The 22,555-nt window shown below is 55.0% G+C and overlaps 1 protein-coding gene and 1 long non-coding RNA gene across 11 annotated transcripts, besides 6 other annotated features; one reads left to right on the top strand and one right to left on the bottom strand.

Moving 5' to 3' along the window:
* CACNB3 (calcium voltage-gated channel auxiliary subunit beta 3) lies at window positions 39-14,500 on the bottom strand. Of its 10 annotated transcripts, XM_047429525.1 has the most exons (15): window positions 14,427-14,500; window positions 11,466-12,107; window positions 10,006-10,595; window positions 5,514-5,636; window positions 5,177-5,299; window positions 4,607-4,722; window positions 4,247-4,311; window positions 4,012-4,031; window positions 3,737-3,817; window positions 3,488-3,546; window positions 3,211-3,320; window positions 2,462-2,613; window positions 2,126-2,221; window positions 1,857-2,006; window positions 39-1,395 (listed from the first exon to the last, which is right to left on the bottom strand). In XM_047429525.1, exons 3-15 carry the CDS (start codon window positions 10,048-10,050, stop codon window positions 1,081-1,083), a joined length of 1,455 nt encoding a protein of 484 aa, XP_047285481.1. In that variant the 5' UTR covers window positions 10,051-10,595; window positions 11,466-12,107; window positions 14,427-14,500; the 3' UTR covers window positions 39-1,080. The 10 variants fall into 10 exon arrangements, with proteins under 10 accessions (XP_047285481.1, NP_001193846.1, NP_001193845.1 ...); NM_001206917.2 differs by lacking the exons at window positions 10,006-10,595; window positions 11,466-12,107; NM_001206916.2 differs by lacking the exons at window positions 10,006-10,595; window positions 11,466-12,107; window positions 14,427-14,500 and adding an exon at window positions 13,252-13,406.
* Window positions 10,217-10,686: a silencer, noted in NCBI's record as "silent region_4413". NCBI's record gives its function as "represses an Ori minimal core promoter by ATAC-STARR-seq in GM12878 lymphoblastoid cells {active_cell/tissue: GM12878}" and the evidence as "EXISTENCE:reporter gene assay evidence [ECO:0000049][PMID:35858748]".
* On the top strand, window positions 12,048-15,218 carry LOC101927241 (uncharacterized). Its single transcript, XR_245978.4, has 3 exons — window positions 12,048-12,220; window positions 14,307-14,523; window positions 14,688-15,218. It is a non-coding gene; the product is annotated as an uncharacterized LOC101927241 (long non-coding RNA).
* Window positions 13,393-13,472: a silencer, noted in NCBI's record as "silent region_4412". NCBI's record gives its function as "represses an Ori minimal core promoter by ATAC-STARR-seq in GM12878 lymphoblastoid cells {active_cell/tissue: GM12878}" and the evidence as "EXISTENCE:reporter gene assay evidence [ECO:0000049][PMID:35858748]".
* Window positions 13,393-13,922: a biological region, named in NCBI's record as "H3K27ac hESC enhancer GRCh37_chr12:49208841-49209340".
* Window positions 13,423-13,922: an enhancer, noted in NCBI's record as "H3K27ac hESC enhancer chr12:49208841-49209340 (GRCh37/hg19 assembly coordinates)". NCBI's record gives its function as "activates a minimal SCP1, AML or CMV promoter by ChIP-STARR-seq in naive H9 embryonic stem cells {active_cell/tissue: H9 hESC(naive)}" and the evidence as "EXISTENCE:reporter gene assay evidence [ECO:0000049][PMID:30033119]".
* Window positions 13,923-14,424: an enhancer, noted in NCBI's record as "H3K27ac hESC enhancer chr12:49208339-49208840 (GRCh37/hg19 assembly coordinates)". NCBI's record gives its function as "activates a minimal SCP1, AML or CMV promoter by ChIP-STARR-seq in naive H9 embryonic stem cells {active_cell/tissue: H9 hESC(naive)}" and the evidence as "EXISTENCE:reporter gene assay evidence [ECO:0000049][PMID:30033119]".
* Window positions 14,073-14,332: a silencer, noted in NCBI's record as "silent region_4411". NCBI's record gives its function as "represses an Ori minimal core promoter by ATAC-STARR-seq in GM12878 lymphoblastoid cells {active_cell/tissue: GM12878}" and the evidence as "EXISTENCE:reporter gene assay evidence [ECO:0000049][PMID:35858748]".

The following is a 22,555-nucleotide window of genomic DNA, read 5'->3' as shown; positions in this document are numbered from 1 at the left end:
ACTTTGGGCCGCATCACAGACAGAACAGAAGCCGGAGGGACTGTGCATGATGTTTATTAGTGATGACAGTGAGGTGAGGCAGGGGCTTGTGGAGCATGCTCTGTAGGTCACACACTAGAGCCATAAGGCAAGAGTAGCCGGGGAGACAGGTCCTCTGTGCCCTGTCTCTCCCCATCTAACCCTAACCTAACAAGCGGCAGCTATGAGTCAGGGAACAAAGTCTGGAGCCCGGTTCTCCAAAGATGTATGAGGGACAAGAACAGAAATGACAGGATGCAGGGCAAAAGAATGAGAAAGGCAAGGAGGCCCCCCTAAGTTCTCTGCTACACATGCCCTCCTTCCCCAAACCCCCATCCAGGTTGGCTCCCATCTGCCACTTGGCTTCACCATGCTCCTGGTCCCTGGTCCTGTCACATGTTAAGAAGCTTCCTGGCAGGGTGAGGAGAGCCCTTCCCTCCAAGAGCTTCAGCTGTGAGCTCTCTCTGGCCCGAGCGTGGCCAGCCTGCTGCTCCAGTCTTGGATGTGGCTGCCACACCCCAGCAAACAGATGGGTGTGCCACCCTGGGGGGGCTTTGATTGTCTCATTTCTAATGTATGGCAGTGAGGTGACTGGAGGCCCTGGATGCCAAAGCAGTCCCTTGACTGTCAGGACTTGTGCCTGCTCAGGGACCTTGTTTCTTCCTCATGCCATGGTGCCCACACCCCACCCTTTTGTCACTTTAATGGGGCATCCCTTCCCTGAGTCTGGTGGGAAGGACCCTGCTAAGGGGATCCTGGCCTGAGGGCACTGCCCAGTGGGGCAGCTTCCTGTGTGGGAGGAGAGGAAGGTGCCAGGGGTGCAGAACACACAGCTAGTACCTGGAATGGGAGCCTAGTAGGGGTCACTGCCCAGGAGGTGAGGGGGTCCCCTGTTTCTCCCAGAACCTTGGGACCACAGGCAGCCCTGAAGCTGGGGCTGGGCAGGGGGTTTTGGGGGCTGAGCCTAGTGCCAGCCTGATGCCAGTCTAACGCCACCCTGCCTGGAGTGGGCCCCCCAGCCAGCTGCGCCTGTGCCTGCCAGGGTAGGGCAGCAGGAGGCTGTCAGTAGCTATCCTTGGGCCAAGGCCGGTTGCGCTGCCAGTTCCGGTCACTGTGGTTGTGCTCTGAGTCCTGGGCTAGAAGCCGGTCTTGGGGGTCATGCCCGTTAGCACTAGGCAGCCCCGAGGTGTGTTGGCGGTGAGGCTGGTACAGGTCCTGGTAGGCATCTGCATAGTCCTCCTCCAGGTGGCGGGAGCTACGCTGTGAAGATCCTGTCCAGGCTTGGCGGGAGCTCTCGCTGGCCTCATCAGAGGGCATCAAGCTGTCCCGCTCAAGGGGGGAGTGCTCCTCGCCACGCTCCCCCAGCAGCTGCTGGTTCTGGGGGCCATACAACAGCTCTCAGTGAGGCAGTACAGACCTCACCTTGTCTTCTGGTGAGGTGCGAGATTCTTCCCCCCTCAACTCTCAATTCCCCGGTAAAGGAAATAGTGCAAGGAAAAAGCATGCTGGAGCATTTTTCCTCTTCCGAGAGAGAAAACTGGAGCTTCGACTCCCGCAAAATTCAGGCTCTGCCTTCAAGGCAGCCTGGGAGAAGGTTTGGAGATTGTGTTTCTCTTGACCCCTAGGAAACTAATCTCTGACGTATCCATCTCATTGATTGATTCCCTCTCTCCTCAGGAAGTTCCTTTGCCCGTCTGTGCTAGCTCTGTACAGCAGAGCTGAGAGTTCTACAATCCTTTGGCATGCTGAACTGGAGGCCAAGGACAGTCCTCTGGGCAGGGAGGGGCAGTGCCTTGGCTGGCTTAGCTTGAGCATCTCTGCCCACTGGAAATGGTTACCTGAAGTCCGGGGATGGCACTGGGAGGACCCAGAAGTCCGGGGCCAGGGGCTGGGTGGTGCGTGGCCCGCCAGTAAACCTCCAGGTACTCAGCCAGGTGCTCACAGGCATCCTCCAGCTGGTTCTCATCCAGAATCACATCAAATGACTCCTGGGGAGGGGGAGGAAGGCGCAACGTTGGTTTCCCCTCAGTAGCAGCCCCCCACCCATCTCTATCACTGCCGCAGCCCTGGGGGAGTGGGCACAGGAGCAGCTGACCCAGGCACTCACCGGTGGGCACTGAACCAGCTTATCATATGCCATCATCTGTACGGTCAGGTGCTTCATCTGTGACTTCCCCCGGGAGCGAATGAGACGCTGGAGTACCTGAGCGGGGAGGGCAGAGCTAGGCCTGGAGTCTCTCAGGACTCTGGGCAGAGCTGAGCCCGGGCAGAGCTAGGCATTTCTTCCACTTGTGGCATCAGTAGCAGGTGAGGATGACTCAGAGTTGTGTTAAGGGCAGCAGGAAAAGGGAACTCAGGTGCCCCAGGCAGGGACCAAGTAGAATCATGCCACATTCTAGTAGGATAGCCCTGTGGGCCTCCTCCATGAGCCCAGCTGACTTACCTTTGGTGAGGACACTTTGACAAAGACGATGATGGGGGCCAGCGAGGTCTTGGCCAGCTGTGCTGGGTGGTTGATGGTGTCAGCGTCCAACACTACTAGCTGCAGGGATTTGGCCAGCTCAAATATGCGCTCGATCTCACTCTGCACTTCCGCTATGGAGGGAGGCAGCAGCAGTGCTCACCAGGAGCTCTGCCCACTGCTCACTCCAGCAGGCTTTGAGGGCTCCCGAATGGTGGACAGGAAGGAATTGGAGGAAAAGGGCATTCATCGAAGCCTGGACAGGCAGAGGAATGGGAATTGAGGAGGAGGGGTGTGTTCTTGCCAATCCTGGGGGCAGGTAGAGGAGTTGGGCAGAAAGACAAGGAGGTAAGGAAGAGAAAAGGGAAGAGGGGCCAGGCATGGTGGCTCATGCCTGTAATCCCAGCATTTTGAGAGGCCAAGGTGGGCCGATCACTTGAGGTCAGGAGTTCGAGACCAGCCTGGCCAACATGGTGAAACCCCACGTCTACTAAAAATGCAAAAATTAGCTGGGCGTGGTGATGGGCGCCTGTAGTCCCGGCTACTCAGGAGGCTGAGATGGGAAGATCGCTTGAACCCAGGAGGTGGAGGTTGCAGTGAGCCGAGATCTCACCACTGCACTCCAGCCTAGGTGACAGAGCGAGACTCCATCTCAAAAAAAAGAAAAGGGAGGAGGAAGGTTCTCACTGGCACTTGAGTGGGCACAGAAGCAGGTGGTGGGGACTTCTCACCAATGCTGGAGCGGGCAGAGGAGCGCTCAATGATGGTCCTCTTGCCCGGATTGTTGAGCACAGATCGCTTTGCCAGGGAGAGGTCGGCTGTGACTCGGGTGATGGAGATCCTGGGGTGGGAGTGGAGAATCACAGCTTGCTTCTAAACCTGTGCCTCAGCCTCTCCTTACTCAGCTCCCACTAACTCTTCCCTTAGAGAAGACTAGCTACAGGCATCTGGAAGTAGGCCATGAGCTTCTCCTTGGTTCTCAGGCCACCTCAGGCCAGGGCAGCTTACCTGCCATCAAATCTGTGTTTGAGGAAGTCGAAGAGAGCCTTCTGCATCATGTCTGTGACCTGGGGGAAGGCATGGCACTGATGAAGGGCCCCTTTGGAGAGAAGCAGCCTCCCCATGCATGGCCCCAGAGTCAATGCGCTCCACATACACACCCTGGACGGAGGAGACACACCCCTTCCACTTTCCCTAGGGACTTCCTGTGGCAGGCTTGGTAGAGGTGACTCTTTGGGGTCAAGGACCTCCTCTCACCTCATAACCTTTCAGAGAGGGTCCCACCAGCACCACAGGCCGCATGGAGGGCACCACGTCATATGGGGGAACATGTTCCGCCTGCAGAATGGACATGAGGTCAGTAGAAACCATGGCCCTGGTGCCTGTCTCATGCCTGGTTGGCGTCAGGGCAGATCCAGAGGTTCTGGGCTCCCTCCCCTCTCTGTTCTGCCCTCCAACAATGACTGCCTAGAACACTGTCCCCAGAGCCATAAGCCATGATCCCCCCAGCCCAGGTCCCTTCCTTGACTCACCTGCTTTTGCTTCTGCTTGGCTTTTTGGAAAAGGAAATACAAGATTAAAGTTGGTGAAGGGGGAAAGGTCCCTGGGGGCATGGTATCCCCGTCCCCAGGGGAGATACTGGCTTCTCCCCACCCCTTCCAATCCCTCCACAAACCCTTCCCACACAGTTCACTTGGGCAGGATCCCCTCTTTCCCTGTGTCTTAGCTACCCACCTACCCAAAATGGGTGGGTTGGGGGGAGGCTACCTAGAGATGGCGGAGGGGAGCGTCGGTTGCCAATGTCACTCAGGCTGGAAGGGTTCCCAGATCTCCTGAGAAGAAAGGGAGGTGAAAGAGAGAGAGAGAAGAATGTGTCTCTGTGTATGTATGTTCTATGCATTATTTAATAATTGTACACAATTCCATATGCTTTATCTAGTGAGACAGGTGTACATGCAATATGTGTGTGTGTTTGTAGATTTGTTTAGTGTTGAGTGTGTAGAGCTGGGCATACGTGTATGTGTATTTCAGGGGGATATGCATGTGTATGGCATGCATGGTGACGTGTCCTGTGGGTACAGTGCAAGTGTTTGGGGTGTGTTTACTGACTCATGGCCCAACTCTCACCTGGCCTTCTGCTCCTGTTTGAGCCGGATGCTCTCCAGGCGCTGGGGGCTGGGGATGAAGGCGATGTCCCCGCCCTCTTTCACTAGCCGCCCGATCCACCAGTCATTGCTGTACTTCTGGGGGCAGGTGGAGCAGGAAGGGGTGGTGAGAGAAGCGCCCCGCCCCAGTCCTGGCTCTTCAATGTGAAGGAGCCAGCGAGGCAGTCACTGAGCTGGTCTGAGGAATGCAATGCAAGGGGCGGTGGGCAGAAGGGGCCAGGGGAAAGGACAGCCAAGTTCGGGCCACCCAGGATTTCTGAGTGAGGCATTGCAGCTGTCACAGGGGACCTCGGAGGCAGCTAATCTAACTGCTCACTTGACAGACATGGAGACTGATGCCCAAGCCAGGTCTCAGAAGGATGGAGACCCTGGGGATGAGATCTTAGATATGAGGGGTGGACAGGTGTGTGTTAAGGAGAAGAGCTGATTAGCTTGGGGAATTAGACTGAGGATTCAAGTCAGAAGCATTAGGATCTGGAGCAAGAGCAAGAAAATGAAGTTAGAGGCTTCTGGAAGTAGGGGGGTCGATCACCTCTTTAATGTGCAGAAAATCTTTGGCCTCAAAGTTGACTCCAGAGCCCTGGACTGGGCACTCCTCATCCAGTACGCCACAGTAGCTGACATTGGTCCTCACCGCAAATGCCACAGGTTTGTGCTGGAGAATTTGCCCATTAGTGCAAGTGAGAGAAGGCTCGAAGCACCCCTTCCAGCTTCAGTGCCCCAACAGCAGAAGGCCGTGGCCTCTGCCCATCACACACACCCTCTCACACTCAAGGACATCCTGCCCAAGGACCCCTTGGGACTTAGGACCGAGTGCAGGTTTCCACCTAGCTTGGCCTCCTGTCTTGCCCCATGCCCAGAAAGTATACCTTGGCCCTTTCGAGCTGCTGCTGAGCCTGGCTCTCTACTTCACGCCGGGCACTCTCCCGGTCCTCCTCCAGGGAGACGTCTGAGTCCAGAGATGGGCGGCTGGTGTAGGAGTCGGCTGAACCCTGGGTTGGGAAAGAGGCTGTGACTCCCAGGCTCCGGCATGAAGGATGCCATGGAGGCACCCTCCTCACCTTACAGTGTTGCCTCTATTGCCCCCAGTTTCTCCATCTCCAAGGGGATAGCTGGGTCCCTATGGCCCCTCCTATCCCCTGAGAAGGGCCCCAGTGCCTCTGAGGCTACAGGAAAGCTGGCCCAATCCATAGGTGCAAAGATCTGGGCCCCTCCTCCCCCAAGCCTATTAATACTGCAGCTTTGAATAGAGCCTTCACTTCTCTCTTTCCTCCCTTTTCTCCCCTCTAACATGTCCTCTGAGCCGAGGGAAGGGAGGTGTGCTGAAGATGATGTATTAGAGATGATTCTGGATCCAGGAGACCCAGCCCTCTTGTTCATAGCAGCCTGCAAAGCAGCCTGGACATCATCCCTTTAAGATGCCTGTCAGGAGTCCAGCCAGCCGCAACAGTCAAGAGATGCTGGTTGGCACAGCACCAGTCCTGAATGTGGGGATCCAGCCATCTGCCCCCTAAGATTCCACTTTCCCTACTCCAACAAGGCTCTGAAGGCTCCCAAATGGTGAGCCCTTACCCTTCCAGGGTGAAGAGGAGGACACAAAGCTGCCAGCTCCTAGAAGTTACCTCCCCTTTGCTCTCCCCACCCCCTACTTTTCTTCCTTCCACACCTGCTGGGGCAACTAGCCAGGTGTGGGCAGCAAACAAGACACAGACCAAGAACACAAAGCTGTCTCCCTGGGTGCAGGTGAGGCTGGGCCACACCTACCACTTGGCCTACATCTCCCTAGTCCTTTCCCAGGCCCAGGGGACATCAGCCCTAGAAGAAGGCTATGCTAGTGCCAGGCAACCTAGCTACGGAGCAGGACCCCGGGGATGTGGGGAGGGGGTAACATGAGCAAGGAGAGTCTCTGAGTCCTGCCCATAGGAAAGGTCTTGGGCAATGAGGGTGCATTTGACGGTCACAGAGTTCAGCCTCAAGACCATGAGGGAGAGGCACAAATGAGTAAGGGACGCTGGACTTTGAGACAAGAGCCCAGAGGTTACAATGTCTGGGTTTCCTCCTCTGTCAGGGAAAGGGAGTCTTTCGTTTCCTGCCTCAGTTTTCCCTCTCTGTGGGGAGAAGCCTCAAGTGATACTTCCCACAATTCTGAGATGCCAGTGGCAGAGAGAAGGGATAAGCCTAGATAAGGGGTTCATGCAGGAGTGTGTGTGTGTATAGGGGAAGGGGCTTTAGAATGTCCTCAGGTAGAGGAACATTCTCTCAAGCTCACTGGGCATGACCACCTACGGAAGGCAGCAGAGGCCAGACTCTCAGAGAAGAAGGCAAAATCACATACCTGCTGTCAACCATGCCCTCTACCCCTACCCTGCCGTGGGCAAGAGGGCTGTTCAGCTAGGGGTCAGCCCAGGCTCTCGAGCCTTAGGCTAAAGACAGTGTCTATAGTAGACCAAAGGCCTGAAGATAGCACAAGGGGGAAAGATCTTTCATTTTACAGAAGAGTAGTCCGCCGACTGTTCCTCATCTCTCCTGAGAACAAAATGAGGCTGGATGGCAGCAGGATAAGTGGGGGATGAACCCCAGAAATAATCTTTGCACAGGGTGAGGGACCTCCTTCCCAGGGGTCTTAGGACACAAGAGAAACCTCTGTGGGATGTTGGTGTCTGAAGCAACCAGACAGGGGCCAACAGACTGGGAGGCAGGAGGCAAGGCAGATGACCACTCGCTTTGGTACAGATACATTGGGTACCTCCCAGAGGCCCAGAACTGTGCTAAAAGAGGAGTCTGACCTTTTCTGCCTGTGCTCCAGGCTCTCAGCCCAATTTAGTAATCTTTATTTTTATTATTTTATTTATTTACTTAGAGACAGGTCTTGCTCTGTCACCCAGGCTGGAGTGTAGTGGCACAATCGTAGCTCACTGCAGGCTTGAACTCCTGGGCTCAAGCGATCCTCCTGTCTCCTGAGTAGCTACGACTACAGGCATGCGCTACCATGCCTACTAGTTTTTTGTAGAGACAGGATCTTGCTATGTTGCCTAGGCTGGTCTCAAACTCCTGGGCTTAAGCCATCTTCCTACCTTAGCCTCCCAAAGCATTGGGATTATAGGCATGAGTCTCTATGCCTGGTTTAATTTAGTAATTTTTTTTTTTTTTTTGAGATGGAGTTTCACTGTGATGCCCAGGCTGGAATGTAATGGTGCGATGTCGGCTCACTGCAACCTCTGCCTCCCGGGTTCAAGCAATTCTACTGCCCCAGCCTCCTGAGTAGTTGGGACTACAGGCATGTGCCACCATGCTGGGCTAATTTTTATATTTTTAGTAGACACAGGGTTTCACCATATTGGCCAGGCTGGTCTCCAACTCCTGACCTCAAGTGATCTACCTCGGCCACCCAAAGTGCTGGGATTACAGGTGTGAGGCACCGCTGGCGGCCTAATTTAGTAATCATAACGCCTGAGGCATCTGGCTTACCTGACCTCTCACCCTGGGATGGGAATCACAGGATCTCTTCCTAAATATTTAATGAGTTGTGCTCAGAATGGAACCCCCTCTCCATTACTCCCAAGTCCTCCAGGCTCACTCATCTCTAGTGCTCCAGTATTACTTGGGGAGGCCAGGGCTGCCCTGCCAAGCATGATCTAGGGTCTTACCTTTCCTGTACCCTGCTACGCCAAAATAGCCAGAGTTTCAGTACTTTGGAGCTGCCAGGAGTTGGCACAGTGCCCTGGTGGTGCCCCCCTTGCCTAGTGAGTGTGTGGGCAGGCTGCAGCTCCTCTCTTGCCTGGCACGGGGGAAGGAGAGGAGGGAGATGAGCCGTTGGATTTATTTAGAGCCTGATCTCCCTCCTACTGCTTCAGAGGGGGCCTCAGGGAGAGCAAGGAGCCAGGCAAGAGAAAGGGAAGTGGGGGAGGGTGATCAGAGCCAGAGAGAGATGGGAGGGAGCAATGGGTCAGCAGGCTGCCCTCCAACACCATCCACATGTCAGTCTGCTCCTTGCAATAGCCCTTGCCTTCTCACCAGGGATGGGAAGAACCTCCTAGGGCCATCCAGCCCCACAGAGAGGTTTGTTTTCAAGCTCACCTTGGCACCCTGGGCTATACCAGCTGTCCCTTCAACTGTCAGAAAGAGGTGTCCACCAGAGCCTTGAAAATGATCTGATCTAGCGGCAATGTAATTAGCCCCAGAGGCCCCATGGAGAATTGGGCCCAGAAGGAGACCAGTCCCAGAAAAGGACAGTTGCCTATTCTGAACATCAGCATTCATCTATCCTGGGCCTGGCAGTAAGTGATGGGAGAAGACTTGAACATGAACTCCTCTTTCCGACCCAGGGGTGCTCCAACCTATTGGGGCCCCTTCCAAGCCATCTAGTGGTCCACTCCTAAGGAGGCCTTCTTACAGGACATTTGAGGGAAAGTTGTCAGCTCCAAGGGGCTGAGAAGCTGCTCCGCATTCTTGCCCCATCTTTCCAGGCACTCTCCCTGCTGTCTGAGCTCCGGGAATCACTGCTTAATGAGCTGATTTGTCTCAGTGGGTCAGGAGATAAAAGCAAAGAGGAGAATTAAATATTTATCGGTTGCCTGTTTCTCTGAGCAAAGCGCTTCCTCTCCATCCCCAGGCCCTCAGCTCCTCTGGCCTCACCTCCAGGCCCTCCATGCTGGGCAAGAGCTCAGGATGCCCGCTGCAGAGGAAGCCTCAGCAGGGGGCTGTGGAATAGATGGGGCTCAGTCACCTGGCCTACCCATGTGCTGGGCGCCCAGGTTTCAGCCTGGGAGAGAAACTGGGCTAGAGAAAGGGTGAGGAGATGAGGCAATGCGCAGAGATGGAGGGGGTGGAAGGGAATAATGGAGCTCCTCAAGTTTTAGGATCCGTCTGTCTGAAGAGGTTGGCCCCTGGCTCCCTGATGTCCTCTCAGCTCCCTGATGTGTCGTTTGCTTGAGGCACAAGAGGTCTAGAATGTCTGCCTCCCCAACCACCTCGGCGGCTCTCCTAGCTGTTGTGTTCAGACCCCAGAAATCCAGAATTTGGAACTCCAGACATGGCGTGTTCCCTCTCCAGAGCCTCTGTGCCCTCGGCCTCCAGCCCTGCCTTCTCCCACCCCTCTTTCCTGGGCCGTGGAGCCACCTGCTTGAGCCCTTCCCCTATACTGCCCCCTCTCTGCACACACCCGATGCCCCAGGGTCTGAGTCTGGGTCGCTGGGGAACGCTTGGCATGAAAATCCATCTCCCCACGTTCTTAGAGCGCCCCCCTACAAACCCTGCCCTGCCACTGAGGCGTTTTTCAAAGTCCTGAACCGGGGAAAGGGTTGAAGGGAGAGGAGGTGTCACCCCAACTTCCCCGCCCCCACCCTCATCGTGGGCACTCACCGCCTCCGAGTCCTCAAACCCGGGCACGTAGGAGTCGTCATACATGGGGGAGTCCGGGTCGGGGGAGCGAGCGGCGCCGGGGGCGGGAGCGGCCCGGAGGCAGGGGCAAGGACTGCGGGCCGCGCCCGGGAGATGCCACCGAGCCCCGCAGCCCTGCGGGCGGCGGCAGGGAGCGAGAGAGCGCGAAGGAGGGAGCGAGCCGCGAAGACCAGCTGCTCGGAGCTCAGATCACCGCTCCCCCCACCCCACCCCCCCAAACCCAGCCGGTCCCACCCCGAGCGCGGCTGAGGAATCTGGCGCCGGCTCCTACAACAATAGTGCCCGCCCACCTGACCCCCTCCCCGGGAGAAGGCGGGGGCGGCGAGGGGGCGGCGGCCACCGGGGAGCCCGGGCCAGGCCGGGAGAGGGGAACGAACCCGTGCTAGGTGGAAGGTGGGTCCCCGAGCACCTACGGGGCCGTGGCGGCGGGGAGGAAGGGGAGGAGAGGCTGCGGGCAGGGCGGATCCAGGCAGGGAGGAGGCGGGGCGAGGAGAGATGCGGAGACAGAGACGCTCGGCAACCCAGGAACTACTCCGCCGGGAAACAAAGGGCTGCGGCGGGGGAGGGAGGGGGCGCTGAGACCGCGAGGGAGACGCGACCCGGGCGGAGACTGGAGAGGGCGCAGGTGTCGAGGAAACCGGAGAGAGAGAGGCAGAGGGAGGACGGAGAGGACAGGAAAATGGGGAGACCGTGGGAGACAGAAGAGGCGCGGGAACGAGCGGCAGACGGGGGAGGGGTCCCAGGCGACAGCAGGGCGGGTCTGGGCCCGTGCGTCCCGGAGGCTCCGAAAGCAAACCCCGCAGTGGTCCCGGGGAGGAATGGGCTTGGTGCCCCCAGGCTAATGACAGGACGGCAGCTCCTGCCCCAACAGGTGCCCGGCCCCCTCAGTACGGGGACGCTGCGGCAAAGGCGGTGTTGCCCAACCCTTGAGAAGGGGGGAACTTTCCGTGAGCTGGGTAGGCCTCCCCACACCTGTTGCACGGATAGATTTTGTCTTAGTCCTGCCAGGATGGGGGTTCCCTTCCCCACTTCCCTGCCAAGGATTGTGCCAGACAGTGCCAAGGCATCCGTGGGAACTGGGGCAGAAAGGGGCTGTTTTAGGTGAGCCTAAAGGGAAGGGGAAAGAAGCCAGAGGGTGGAGGTAGGGGGATAGTTGTGGGTGGGATCCTGGCTACACTCGGGTTGGGAGAGGAAAGGGCCAGTCTCCTCGGAGTCACTAGGGTAAGGCCAGATTCTCCCCTTAGCAGAAGGGCTTGTACCACTCTGCACCACTCAGTCTCCTTTACAGGAGCATTGAGATTTGGGGTAAGAGAGCCGCAGCCCTTATCTTGAGGAAACTTTCCCCAAAGATCCACCCATTTGAGCTCTTTCCTTTTTTCATCTCCTGAGCAAAATTCCTTCTTTGATTTTTGACTGCCTACCTTTGTGCCCCACGAGGAGGATGTGCGTAGACAGGGGTTACACTTGGAGGCCTCCTGGTGCCCATGCTCTTGGCCCTGAGCTCAGTCCTTTTCCTTCCCAATTTCTCACACCCGGGAGTTCAGCAATCTGCTCATCCCTCCTTGGCTTGAGGAGAATCAGAAATCCAAAACTCTGACATGGCTTAGTAAGATCTATGGTAGAAAGCACTGTGCATGGGAGAGAGAAAGCCCACCCAAACCAAGTGGCTTCCCACCTGGGTCACTTATCGGTGTTATCTTGGCAAGACAAAGAAGAGCTGCATCTTCAGACTGACATCTTTAGTCTGTCTACTGTGGGTGGCCCAGAGCAGCCCTGCCCAGCACCTTCCTCATGCTGGGTTTGACAAACAACTTTGTTGCAGCCCCTGTGGCTGAAGGGACTGTCTCCTCTCCTGAGTCCAGCACCAACTGGGGTTTGGTCATATACTGGATTCTTCTGTATTGGAAGTTCCCAGACACTGCCCACTTTTGTGCCCTCACCCAGTTACGCAGTATTCCTTGTATCCCCCTCTTTCATCCTTTCTCTTCAATTCCTTCTTTCAGGGGCCTGGAGAGGTGTCAAAGAGTAAGACCCTCAAGGTGCTCTTCTCCTGGGAGATGGCTCTAGTGAAGAAAGCAGTGGTGGAGGCAGCTGTTTCTCTTCCCATCCCTGCATCCACTCTCCTGGCCTCTCCTTTTGGGACTCTCTCCACCCACAGAAGGTCCTGGGGCTGTAGGTAACAGCGGATCTGCCATCGGCAGCACTCCTTCCTCACACTCCTTGTAATCTCCTGCGACAAGGTTGTCTAAGTCTGCTCCTGAGGCATGTGTTGCCATGCCAACCATCCCCAGGAGATGGGTTCAAGCTCCTCATACCTGGGCCCATCCCCTGGGTCCTGCAGTAGCTTCAGAGCTTCCCTCCTTCTTCTCATATCTCTGGGTTGCTACCCAATGTTCCTTTCATTTCTCACCCACACCTGCCTACTCTAGTTCTAATACCAACTTGGTGACTTCTTGTCCTGTGACAGGACATGTGCCTGTCAGTGTCCATGTAGCCCTAACCTCTTTTCTTTTTCATGGCTGGGCATAAAGGGAGAGAGCTGAGGGCAATAAAGGATCAGGGGAGAGGCTCCTCCTGCTGATTCTTTCTAGGAGAGAGTTGTTAGACTGGCAGCTGGCAGGTACCCAAGTCATAGAAGCAAGACATAAGAGGAAAAGCCTGAATAATCAGGTTTGGGAGCTGGAATATATTGAAACCTTCTTGGGAGGTTTCAGAATATATTCTAGCTTCTCCTCTAAGTGTACCAGGAAGCTGGGCAGATCCCAGTCCCTGGGCACTGAATGGGGAAACTGAGACAGAAGCTAGGCCTTCTGGGAAGACTTAAAGACTCCTCCCCAGCAGTTTTTAAGATCTGGACCAGGTGGAGGCCCCTACCATTCTGGCTGCTAGGCTGCCAGGGAACTCAGGGACAGGCGCTAGGGGAGCTTGGCAGAGCCCTTCTTGTAATCTAGCCCCTTTTTTTCTGGCTCCTCAGTCAGTCCTCTCCTCTCATCCAATCCCAGTACTAGGAAGCTGCCAGCTCTGGCCGCTCCCTCCTCTCTAACCCGGTGCCTCTTCCACCCCTGGCCTCACTTCCTCCGGTTTCCCTGCCTCCCCATCGGTGCAGTCTCCCCCAAACGCGTGCCCCCTTCCTAGCTTGGAGCGGAGCTCTCCTCCCACCCAGTGGGGAACCCCCTTCCCACGACCCCACACCCCCCCCACGGTTACCTCGTTCAGCAGGAAGGTTGCACTGGAGTCAGAAAAAGACATAGACCAGGCTAGCGGCCTCTCCCCCTCCCCCGGGCCAGGGGCTCCGAGGCGGGAGCAAAACCCGGCCGCTGCTCTGCACGCTGCTCCCGCCTGCACGCCTGGCCTCGCCCCACGCCCGCCGGGCTCCGCCGCCTGCTCCCTTCCCTCTCCCCTGGTTCCCTCCCTCTTTCTCCTCCCTCCTCCCTCCCTCCCTCTCCCTTCCTTTCTCGCCGCCTCTGTCAGTCTCTGGCTCTCCCTGCCTTTCAGCCCAGCCTCTCTCCACTTCCGTCTCTCCTGTCTAAGGTCCTCGTTCTGTTTTTCCGTGTGCCTCCCACTGTCCTTCCATCCCCACGTCGCACCCTCGCTCCTCGGCTTCCCCTGCCGCTCTGCTTCTTCCCTAAAGTCCTCCCGAGAAAGAGTAGGGACTCTGGAGTTTCCGCCGCCGCGGGCAGAAGGGCAGGAAGAGCTCCAGGGCTGCCCCAGCTCCTGAGCTCTTGGCGGAAGCTTCTGCTCCCTCCCGGCCCTGCTCCGTGCGCCGGCCGCCCATCCTCCGGCGGCGGCTGCGACCCCGACCTCGGCGGGGGAAAGGACCGAAAAGCAAGAGTGCTGGTGCTCTGCTCGCCCGCCCAAGCGTCAAGGCGCCCATCCACCCGTCCCCGGCTCGGCTCTGTGTCTCCAGAGGGATCGGCATCCCTGTGGAGAGAGCCCAGCTGGGATCGCCCCGCGCCCGCGGAGTCTCTGCCGTCTCCCCCCTCTCCTGGGTTCTGGTGCAGCGGGTCTCAGCTCCGCGAAGGGGAAGGGCGAGGCGAAGCGACGCGGCTCCTTCTCGACCCGCTGCAGCGCCCCTTGGGCTCGCTGGCCCGGCGGCTACACGCGCCCTCCAGGTGGCGGCACCGCCTGGTGTCCGGTCCCGGGGCCGCAGGGTCCGGCCCTGCCAGCAGGCGGCGCTGCCCAGGCCAGAGCAGGGGGGACGCACCCCGGATCCAGACACCGCCCAAGCCCAGGACGAACCCCTCTCCCCCTCCTTTCTCCAGGAACTGCAGTCCCAGCTCGAGACCCCCAGTAGGAGACCCCAGGCTGCGCTCTACTTATTCCCACCCCGTGGGGCTCCTTCGAGACACCCGCGCCCTTCCGGGACCCTAGCCCGTCCCTACCTCCATCCTGGTCTCGAGGGGCGCCCCAGCTAAGCCGGGCAGCGTCCTGGCCGGGACTGGGCAGCAGGGAGTACAGAGTCGCGGGACCGCTCCTCGGGTCAGTACCCCTCCCGCCCCTTTCTGCGGGTGCGTCAAACAGGACAAGCCCAAGTTCTGGCGGGGGAAGGGGGAGCGGGGGTGTAGTTCCAGTTGGCTCTCTCTCTGGACCCTTCTGAGCGGACAGACCGCTCATTGGTCCCTTCACACCCCCAACGACCCCAGGCTGGACCCTTCTCCAGACCAAAGACGGCGCCTGGGGCGGGGAGAGACGGACCCCCCTTCATGGAGACAGACACACGCTGACTCCGATTGACCCAGGTCCCCAACTTCCCCTCAGCATTAACTAGAACGCTCTCCCCTTTCCAGTGGAGGGCGTCCCACCCTTCTTCCCGGCCCTTCTTTTAACCCACTTCCCCTGGGAGTTTCCGGGACCCCTCCCCTCAATCCTCCCATCCCCGGGATCTCGGGAGACTGTTCCTCCCTCTCTGCTCAGCTGACCCTCCACTTGCCCCCATTTCTGAGGGAGGTAAGTTGGGGGAGAGTAAATTCTCTCTCCACTCCCTCCTCCCGAGGCTGGATTTAACCTGGAAAGTGCTTTGAGAAGGCACCTCCTCCCCCACTCCCTCTGTAGTCTAGTCTAGTGGGTCACGGAGCCCCTACCACCCACCCACCTCCAAGTTGCTCAGCTTCGACCATTCAGAGGAAAGAAGTTATGTTATTTGTGTGTGTTAAAAATGCGTGTGGAGGTTTTTATGGTTTTGTTTTGTTTTGACTCTAGTAGAGGGAGCAAACGCTTTGCCTTTCATTTGGCAAGAAGACCTGGAGGGAGAGAGGGCCCTCCCCACCTACACTCCCCTGCTGACCACAGCTAATGGACTAGCTCCGCTGGGCCCTGCGGCAGCTTAAGTTTCCATAGGAGAAGGGAGGTGGGGAGAGAGGGGATGTTGGCCCAGGCAAGCAGTTGTCCCTGGCTTCCCGCAACCTTCTCTCCTTCCCTCCCTCCACATTCTCTGCCTGAAACTATAGCATAGAAACCATCTCTCCACCTTCCACTTTATTTTTATTTATTTATTTATTTATTTTTGAGACGGAGTCTCACTCTGTCGCCTAGGTCGCAGTGCGGTGGCGATCTCGGCCCACAGCAACCTCCGCCTCCCGGGTTCAAGAGATTCTCCTCCTCCCGAGTAGCTGGGGCTACAGGCACGCCACCACACCAGGCTAATTTTTGTATTTTTAGTAAAGACGAGGTTTCACCATGTTGGCCAGGCTGGTCTCCAACTCCTGATCTCAAGCGATCTGCCCGCCTCGGCCTCCCAAAGTGTTGGGATTACAGGCGTGAGCCACGGTGCCCGGCCCACCTTCCACTTTAAAATAGAAATATCAGTTACTTCTCCCTGAGGTTGGCGCCGAGGCTCACGCCTATAATCCCAGCACTTTGGCAGGCCGAGGCGGGCAGATCACTTGAGGCTAGGAGTTCAAGACCAGCTTGGCCAACGTGGTGAAATCCCATCTCTGCAAACAATATAAAAATTAGCCGGGCATGGCAGTGCACACCTGTGGTCCCAGCTACTTGGGAGGCTGAGGCAGAGAATTGCTTGAACTCAGGAGACAGGCCGAGATCGCCCTACTGCGCTCCAGACTCTGGGGGACAGAGTCTCTGTCTCAAAAAAAAAAAATTACTCCTCCATGAGCCTATCACAGGAAATCTGAGGTGCACAGGGGCAGTTCCCCACCCCTTACTTTTCTCATTTCCACCCCAGCTGCTGGACCACAGGCCCCTTCTCCATCTTGCTCTGCAGAGAAGGTAGGAACTTCAGAGCTAGAGCCAGCAGCCCATCCTCCAGGTCCCCAGAACTGCCCTCTCCCAGGCCCTTCTCTGTGACGTGACTGGCAGGATTATCCTTCTCCAGGGCCTGCCCAAGACGCATATCCTCTTCCTCCCCACTCAAGCTCCCTCAGGGCCTTCATCTCTGGCTCAAACCTCATAGTATCTGGGCAGGGCACCCTGCTGAGAGGGGCCTCTACCCTGGATCCATTCCTGGAAGCTATGCCCTCTAACTTGGCCCATATAGGCTCTGAGCTCTAGCAAACAGGCCCCCAGGGCTTCCCAGGCAGCCTTCATCCCTTCTCCCTGCTCACCTTGTCCTCAGACCCCAAGATTGTCAGGACTTGGGATATCTGGCAGGGCCCCTACAAGCCACTCTGGCTAGTCTGTACAGACACAGCTCTGCAGCAGGAGGTAACTGATCTAGAGCTGGATTTCAGTCTCCGTTTGCCTCCTCAGCAAGGCATAATCTGCACAACTGTGCTTAGTGGCCTTGATATTTGAAAGTCTGTATACTACAAAGATAGAGATCACCATGTCCATCCCTTTTTATCTTTTCTACCTAGACCAGAAAAAGGTACCTATCCCTTCTCTTCTGAGAAAATCCTGTGGAAGTAGCTTCCACAGGGAATCCCCATTGCCAGTTCCAGATATTACTCTGGGGGAAGTTCCTCCAATATCAAACCTCAATCCCTCCTGCTGCAGTGCCTTCTTTTTCTGGGCTCTGCCTCTGGACTCATGGTGTTATTTGATGCTTCGAGGCACTTTCAGATTCCATCCCCTGATGCAGCATTTGCTATAAATATGTCTGAAGGGTTTCTTGCGACAATGCCCAGCAAGATCGCACCCTCCTTCCCAAATCAGGCCTCTGGACAGACTGGGGAGTCAGCTGTGGGTTCAAGACCTAACTCTTGCTCACTCTGGGACAGATAGTATGACTGTTGTGTGCATTTGGAGGTTCCTCCTGGTACCTGGGAAGGAGGGGAAGGTGAGAGGGCTGAGGTGATTGGCTTCATGCTCTTGCTGCCCAGAATCCGGCTCAGCCTAGCACATAGTAGGTGCTTGATAATATGTTTCTTTTAGTCTTAGATCCCAGTTTCCCCTCTGGGTCTGCTGATGCACATGATAGGTGATTCCAGTCTCACAGAACGGATTGCAGTGAGCAATGAGCCTGGAACATGAGTGGAACTCTAGGGCTGCCCCACATGGAGAATGGGTATTGATGGCAGGATCTCTAGGGTGGCCAGGGGAATGTGGGGGCTGGCCTAGAATTTACCACCTTCTCTCCCTCACTAGAAGCAAGGAACTGCTCTCGCTAAATTCCTAAAGCTTTAGGACTCTGAATCACAGCACAGCACAGCACAGCCCAAGGGGTCAGTTCAAGTCCTTCCTCCACCCCCACACGTTTACAAGCTTTGTAAACATCAGAGGTTAGTCAGGGAAGCTGGGCTGAAAAGAGATGGAGGTGGGGGTTAGGATCCTTGGAAAAGGTTCTGCGATGTTTGACTCAGATTACAGGCACATGTGGTGGGAGTTCTTTGGGAAAAGAGTTCCCCAAGTAGGGGCAGCTGAAACATGCCAGCTGGAGCAGAGAGGACTTGGGCCTTTAGGAGGGTGGGGCTGCTGACAAGAGGCTGAGGGTGGCCTTGAGAAGGTCAGAGCCATGAGGGAAGAGGCTGACCCTGGCATGTACAGCTGGAGGGAGTGGGAGTGAGGCAATGTGTTTGGATTCTTCCTCTCTGCCCCTCTAGCTCATGGCAATTTGCGTGTTCCTTTATCTCACGGGATCCCTGCTCTGAGCCCACATCAGAGCCCCTCTCTAACAAAGAGGTGCCAGTGTCTGGCCTGCAGGCTGGGTACCTTTCTACTTGCTCCCACTAGCCTCTGCCGCACCCTTGACTCCCACCCTTCTCAGTTTAAGGATCTGAGCTGTGGTAGCCATCTCTAGCTCAGGGTGAGGGCATGGTGCCTGCAACCTCCCTGGGAATGAATTATTGAAGACAGCATTGTGCTAGCTGTTCACAGCTGCTGCCCCTTGGGCCCACCATTGCCTCTTACTGTGCTTCTCACTGCTGTAAGGGGGTATGAGTCTTGGGGCCTGGGAAGAGGGTATTGGGGAGAGGCAGGGACTGAATAAGGTTGAGGAAGTGGGCCTTGGAGAGAAGCCTCCTGGGGTGGAGGGAGGTGGGCTGGCAAAGACTTGTGGCCCCTCATGATGGATCAGGAGGGTAGTCATAGGACAGAGGGAGCTGGCAACCACTTGGTTGCAACCAGGTTGGGAAGTGAGACTGGAAGACTTTTGACTGGAGTGGTTTCCCAGGATTGGAGGTCTGGACTCTCATATGCTTCTGGGGTAACACAGAGCCAGAAGGAGTCTGGATTTTTCCTTGAATGACCTGAAGTCAGCACCGGTAAGTGTCATTCAGGGATGCTCTGTGCAGAGAGGCCTCTGTCCCTTCCCTGCAAATAAGGTCTTGCATGTGTGGTGTGAGGAGTGCAGTTAGTGTCACGGTCCTAGACAGGCCTCATCTGGTACCTTGGAAAGAATGCAGGATTTAGAGCCTGAAGACCAGAGGGCAAGTCCTAATTCTGCCATTTGCTGGTTGTGGGCAAGCCATTTATTATCTCAGAAACTCAGTTTCTTACTTTTATTTTTTACTTAAAAAAATTTTTTTAAGACTAGTTAATTGCAATAGTGAGAAGGGGGGAAGAGTAGAACAAGGAGTTTGATCTGACTCTGAACAATCAATTCAGATTGCTTGCTACCTTTGTACTAGCCTCAGTTTCTTTTCTTTTCTTTTTTTTTTTTTGAGTTGGAGTCTCACTGTGTCTCCCAGGCCGGAGTGCAGTGGAGTGATTTTGGCTCACTACAACCTCCACCTCCTGGGTTCAAGGGATCCTCCTGCCTCAGCCTCCCGAGTAGCTGGGACTACAGGTGCGTGCCACCACACCGGGCTAATTTTGTATATTTTTAGTAGAGATGGGGTTTCATCATGTTGGCCAGGCTTGTCTCAAACTCCTGACCTCAGGTGATCTGCCTGCCTCGGCCTCCCAAAGTGTTGGGATTACAGGTGTGAGCCACCGTGCCTGGCCCCCACAACCTGTTGCTTATTATTTATTTATTTATTATTTATTATTTTTTTTTGAGAAGGAGTCTCACTGTTGCCCAGGCTGGAGTGTGATCTCGGCTCACCACTGCAAGCTCCGCCTCCCAGGTTCAAGCAATTCTCCTGCCTCAGCCTCCTGAGTAGCTGGGATTACAGGCGTGTGCCACCACGCCCAGCTAATTTTTTTGTATTTTAAGTAGAGACGGCGTTTCACCATGTTGGTCAAGCTGGTCTCGAACTCCTGACCTTGTGATCCGTCTGCCTTGGCCTCCCAAGTTCTTTTAAAACTGGAAAAGAACGATGGTGGCTTAACAAGAGGTTCTGTGAGAGCTCAAGAGGAACACTTGCGCTTCATGAGATGTAAATTGCTGTACCAAAGTTAGTTGTTATTGCGGGTAAGAATATCATAAACAGGGAAGCAGCACGTAGTGGAAAGAACCTGCACAGGGTCAGTGGCCTAGGTTTTGGCATCTGGCCTGTGACTAACCCATGGAAAGACCTCTTAGGTCCCTTCCACTTCTGAGATTAAATGACTTCTCAAAGGCCAATTAGTCAACGCTCGGATCTGGATTCAGACCCAGATCTTCAGAATCTACCTCCTGGGTTTTTTTCCATTACAGCCTGTGGGCCGGGTACTCTAGTCCACCCTGACCTTCCATGGGCTCAGCACGCTGGGACCTCCCCTGAAAGTCCCCCACACCCAGATACCACAGTGATTAGCATTTCATTCCTTTGTATTATACATGGGAGGTGCATAATACAGGTGGATCCTCCCACCTAAGCCTCCCTAGTAGCTAGGGACTATAGGCACATGCCACAATGCCTGGTTAGTTTTTTTTATTTGTTATTTTTTGTAGAGATGGGGTTTTACCATGTTGCCTGGGCAGGTCTCAAACCCCTGGGCTCAAGCAATCCTCCTGTCTCGGCCTCCCAAAGTGTTGGAATTACATTCGTGAGCCACTGTGCCTGGCCAATTTTCATTTAATCTAATCATAGTCTATATTTAAATCTCCCTGGTTGGCCCCAAAATGTCTTTTTTTTTGAGATGGAGTTTCACTCTTGTTGCCCAGGCTGGAGTGCAATGGCGCAATCTCAGCTCAATGCAACCTCCGCCTCCCGGGTTGAAGCCATTCTCCTGCCTCAGCCTCCTGAGTAGCTGGGATTAGGCGTGTGCCACCATGCTTGGCTAATTTTTGTATTTTTAGTAGGGTTTCACCATGTTGGTCAGGCTGGTCTCGAACTCTTGACCTTGTGATCTGCCCTCCTTGGCCTCCCAAACTGCTGGGATTACAGGCATGAGCCACCATGCCTGGCCAGCAGCCTACTTTTAAGGAAGAGAGAGAGAGATCGCATAGAAGTCACAGTCTTTTTGTAACCTAATTTTGCAAGTGGCATCTGATCACTTTTGCTGCATTTTATTTCTTAGAATTGAGTCACTAGACCCAGCCCATGCCCAGAGTGTGGGAGTTACATAAGGGCCTGAATATCAGCAGTCAGAGATCATTGGGAGCTATTTCAGAGCTGCCTACCAGTATATTATAGGTAATATTCCATATTTTATCACATGAGAAGATACGTAGCAATTTATTTATATTATTATTATTATTTTTGAGATGGAATTTCGCTCTTGTTGCCCAGGCTGGAGTGCAATGGCGCAATCTTGGCTCACTGCAACCTCCGCCGCCTAGGTTCAAGTGATTCTCCTGCCTCAGCCTCCTGAGTAGCTGGGATTACAGGCATGCGCCACCATGCTAGGCTAATTTTGTAGTTATAGTAGTGAAGGGGTTTCTCCATGCGTGAGCCACAGAGCCCAGCCTATTTTTATTATTTTTTTTGAGATAGAGTCTTGCTCTGTTGTCTAGGCCAGAGTACAGTGGCACAATCTTGCCTCACAGCAGCCTCCTGGGTTCAAGTGATTCTCCTGCCTCAGTCTCCCAAGTAGCTGGGATTACAGGCACACACCACCACGTCTGGCTAATTTTTGTATTTTTAGTAGAGACAGCGTTTTTGCCATGTTGGCCAGGCTGGTCTCAAACTCCTGACCTCAAGTGATCCACCTGCCTCGGCCTTCCAAAGTGCTGGGATTACAGGCATGAGCCACTGCACCTGGCAATTTAAAAGGGCCTTTCATATATATGTTATTTGAACTTTAACAACTGTGTGAAGGCAGATATTGTTACCTCCATTTTATCAATGAGAAAACAGCCTTGAAGAGAGCTTCCTTTTTCACCCTACCTAAAGTAGGCCCCTTCAGTTACCCTTTATCACACATTAATTTCCTGCAACACAGTTTTTAAAAAATAGACTCTTTTTTTGAGACAGTCTTGCTCTGTCGCCTAGGCTGGAGTGCAGTGGCGCATTTCGGCTCACTGCAAGCTCCGCCTCCCGGGTTCATGCCATTCTCCTGCCTCAGCCTCCTGAGTAGCGGGGACTACAGGCGCCTGCCACCATGCTCCGCTAATTTTTTATATTTTTTGGTAGAGATGGGGTTTCACTGTGTTCGCCAGGATGGTCTCGATCTCCTGACCTTGTGATCCGCCTGCCTCAGCCTCCCAAAGTGCTGGGATTACAGGCATGAGCCACCGCGCCCGGCCTAGAAGTTTTAAATTCACAGCAAAATTGAGCAGAAAGTCCAGAGTTCCCACATACTTCCTGCCCTGACACATGCACAGCCTACCCCCTATTAACATCCTGCAGCAGAGTGGTAAATTTGTTAAAATGAACCTACATTGACACATCACTGTCACCAAGTCCACAATTTACACTAGGCAGGGGAGAGTTCTAGTTCTACCACTGAACTGCAAGTGCTACAGTTATACTAGGGTTCACTCTTGGTGTTGTACATTCTGTGGGTTTGGATAAATGTCTAAATGACATGTATCCACCATTATAGTATCACACAGATTAGTCTGACACTGCCCTAAATATCCTCTGTGCTCTTCCTCTTCATCCCTCCCTACACTTAACCCTTGGCAACCATTGATGTTTTTACTGTTTCCAGTGTTTTGTGTTTTTCAGAATGTCCTATAGTTGGAGTCATGCAGTATGGTGTTTTTTTGTTTGTTTGTTTTTTTGAGACAGAGTCTTGCTCTGTCACCCAGGCTGGAGTGCAGTGGCGCGATCTCAGCTCACTGCAAGCTCTGCCTCCCGGGTTCACG

The sequence above is a fragment of the Homo sapiens genome, chromosome 12 (genome assembly GCF_000001405.40).
Source record: "Homo sapiens chromosome 12, GRCh38.p14 Primary Assembly".
Taxonomy (NCBI): Eukaryota; Metazoa; Chordata; class Mammalia; order Primates; family Hominidae; genus Homo; species Homo sapiens.
The sequence above is the reverse complement of the archived record's forward strand: the minus strand, read 5'-3'. Positions and strand labels throughout refer to the sequence as shown.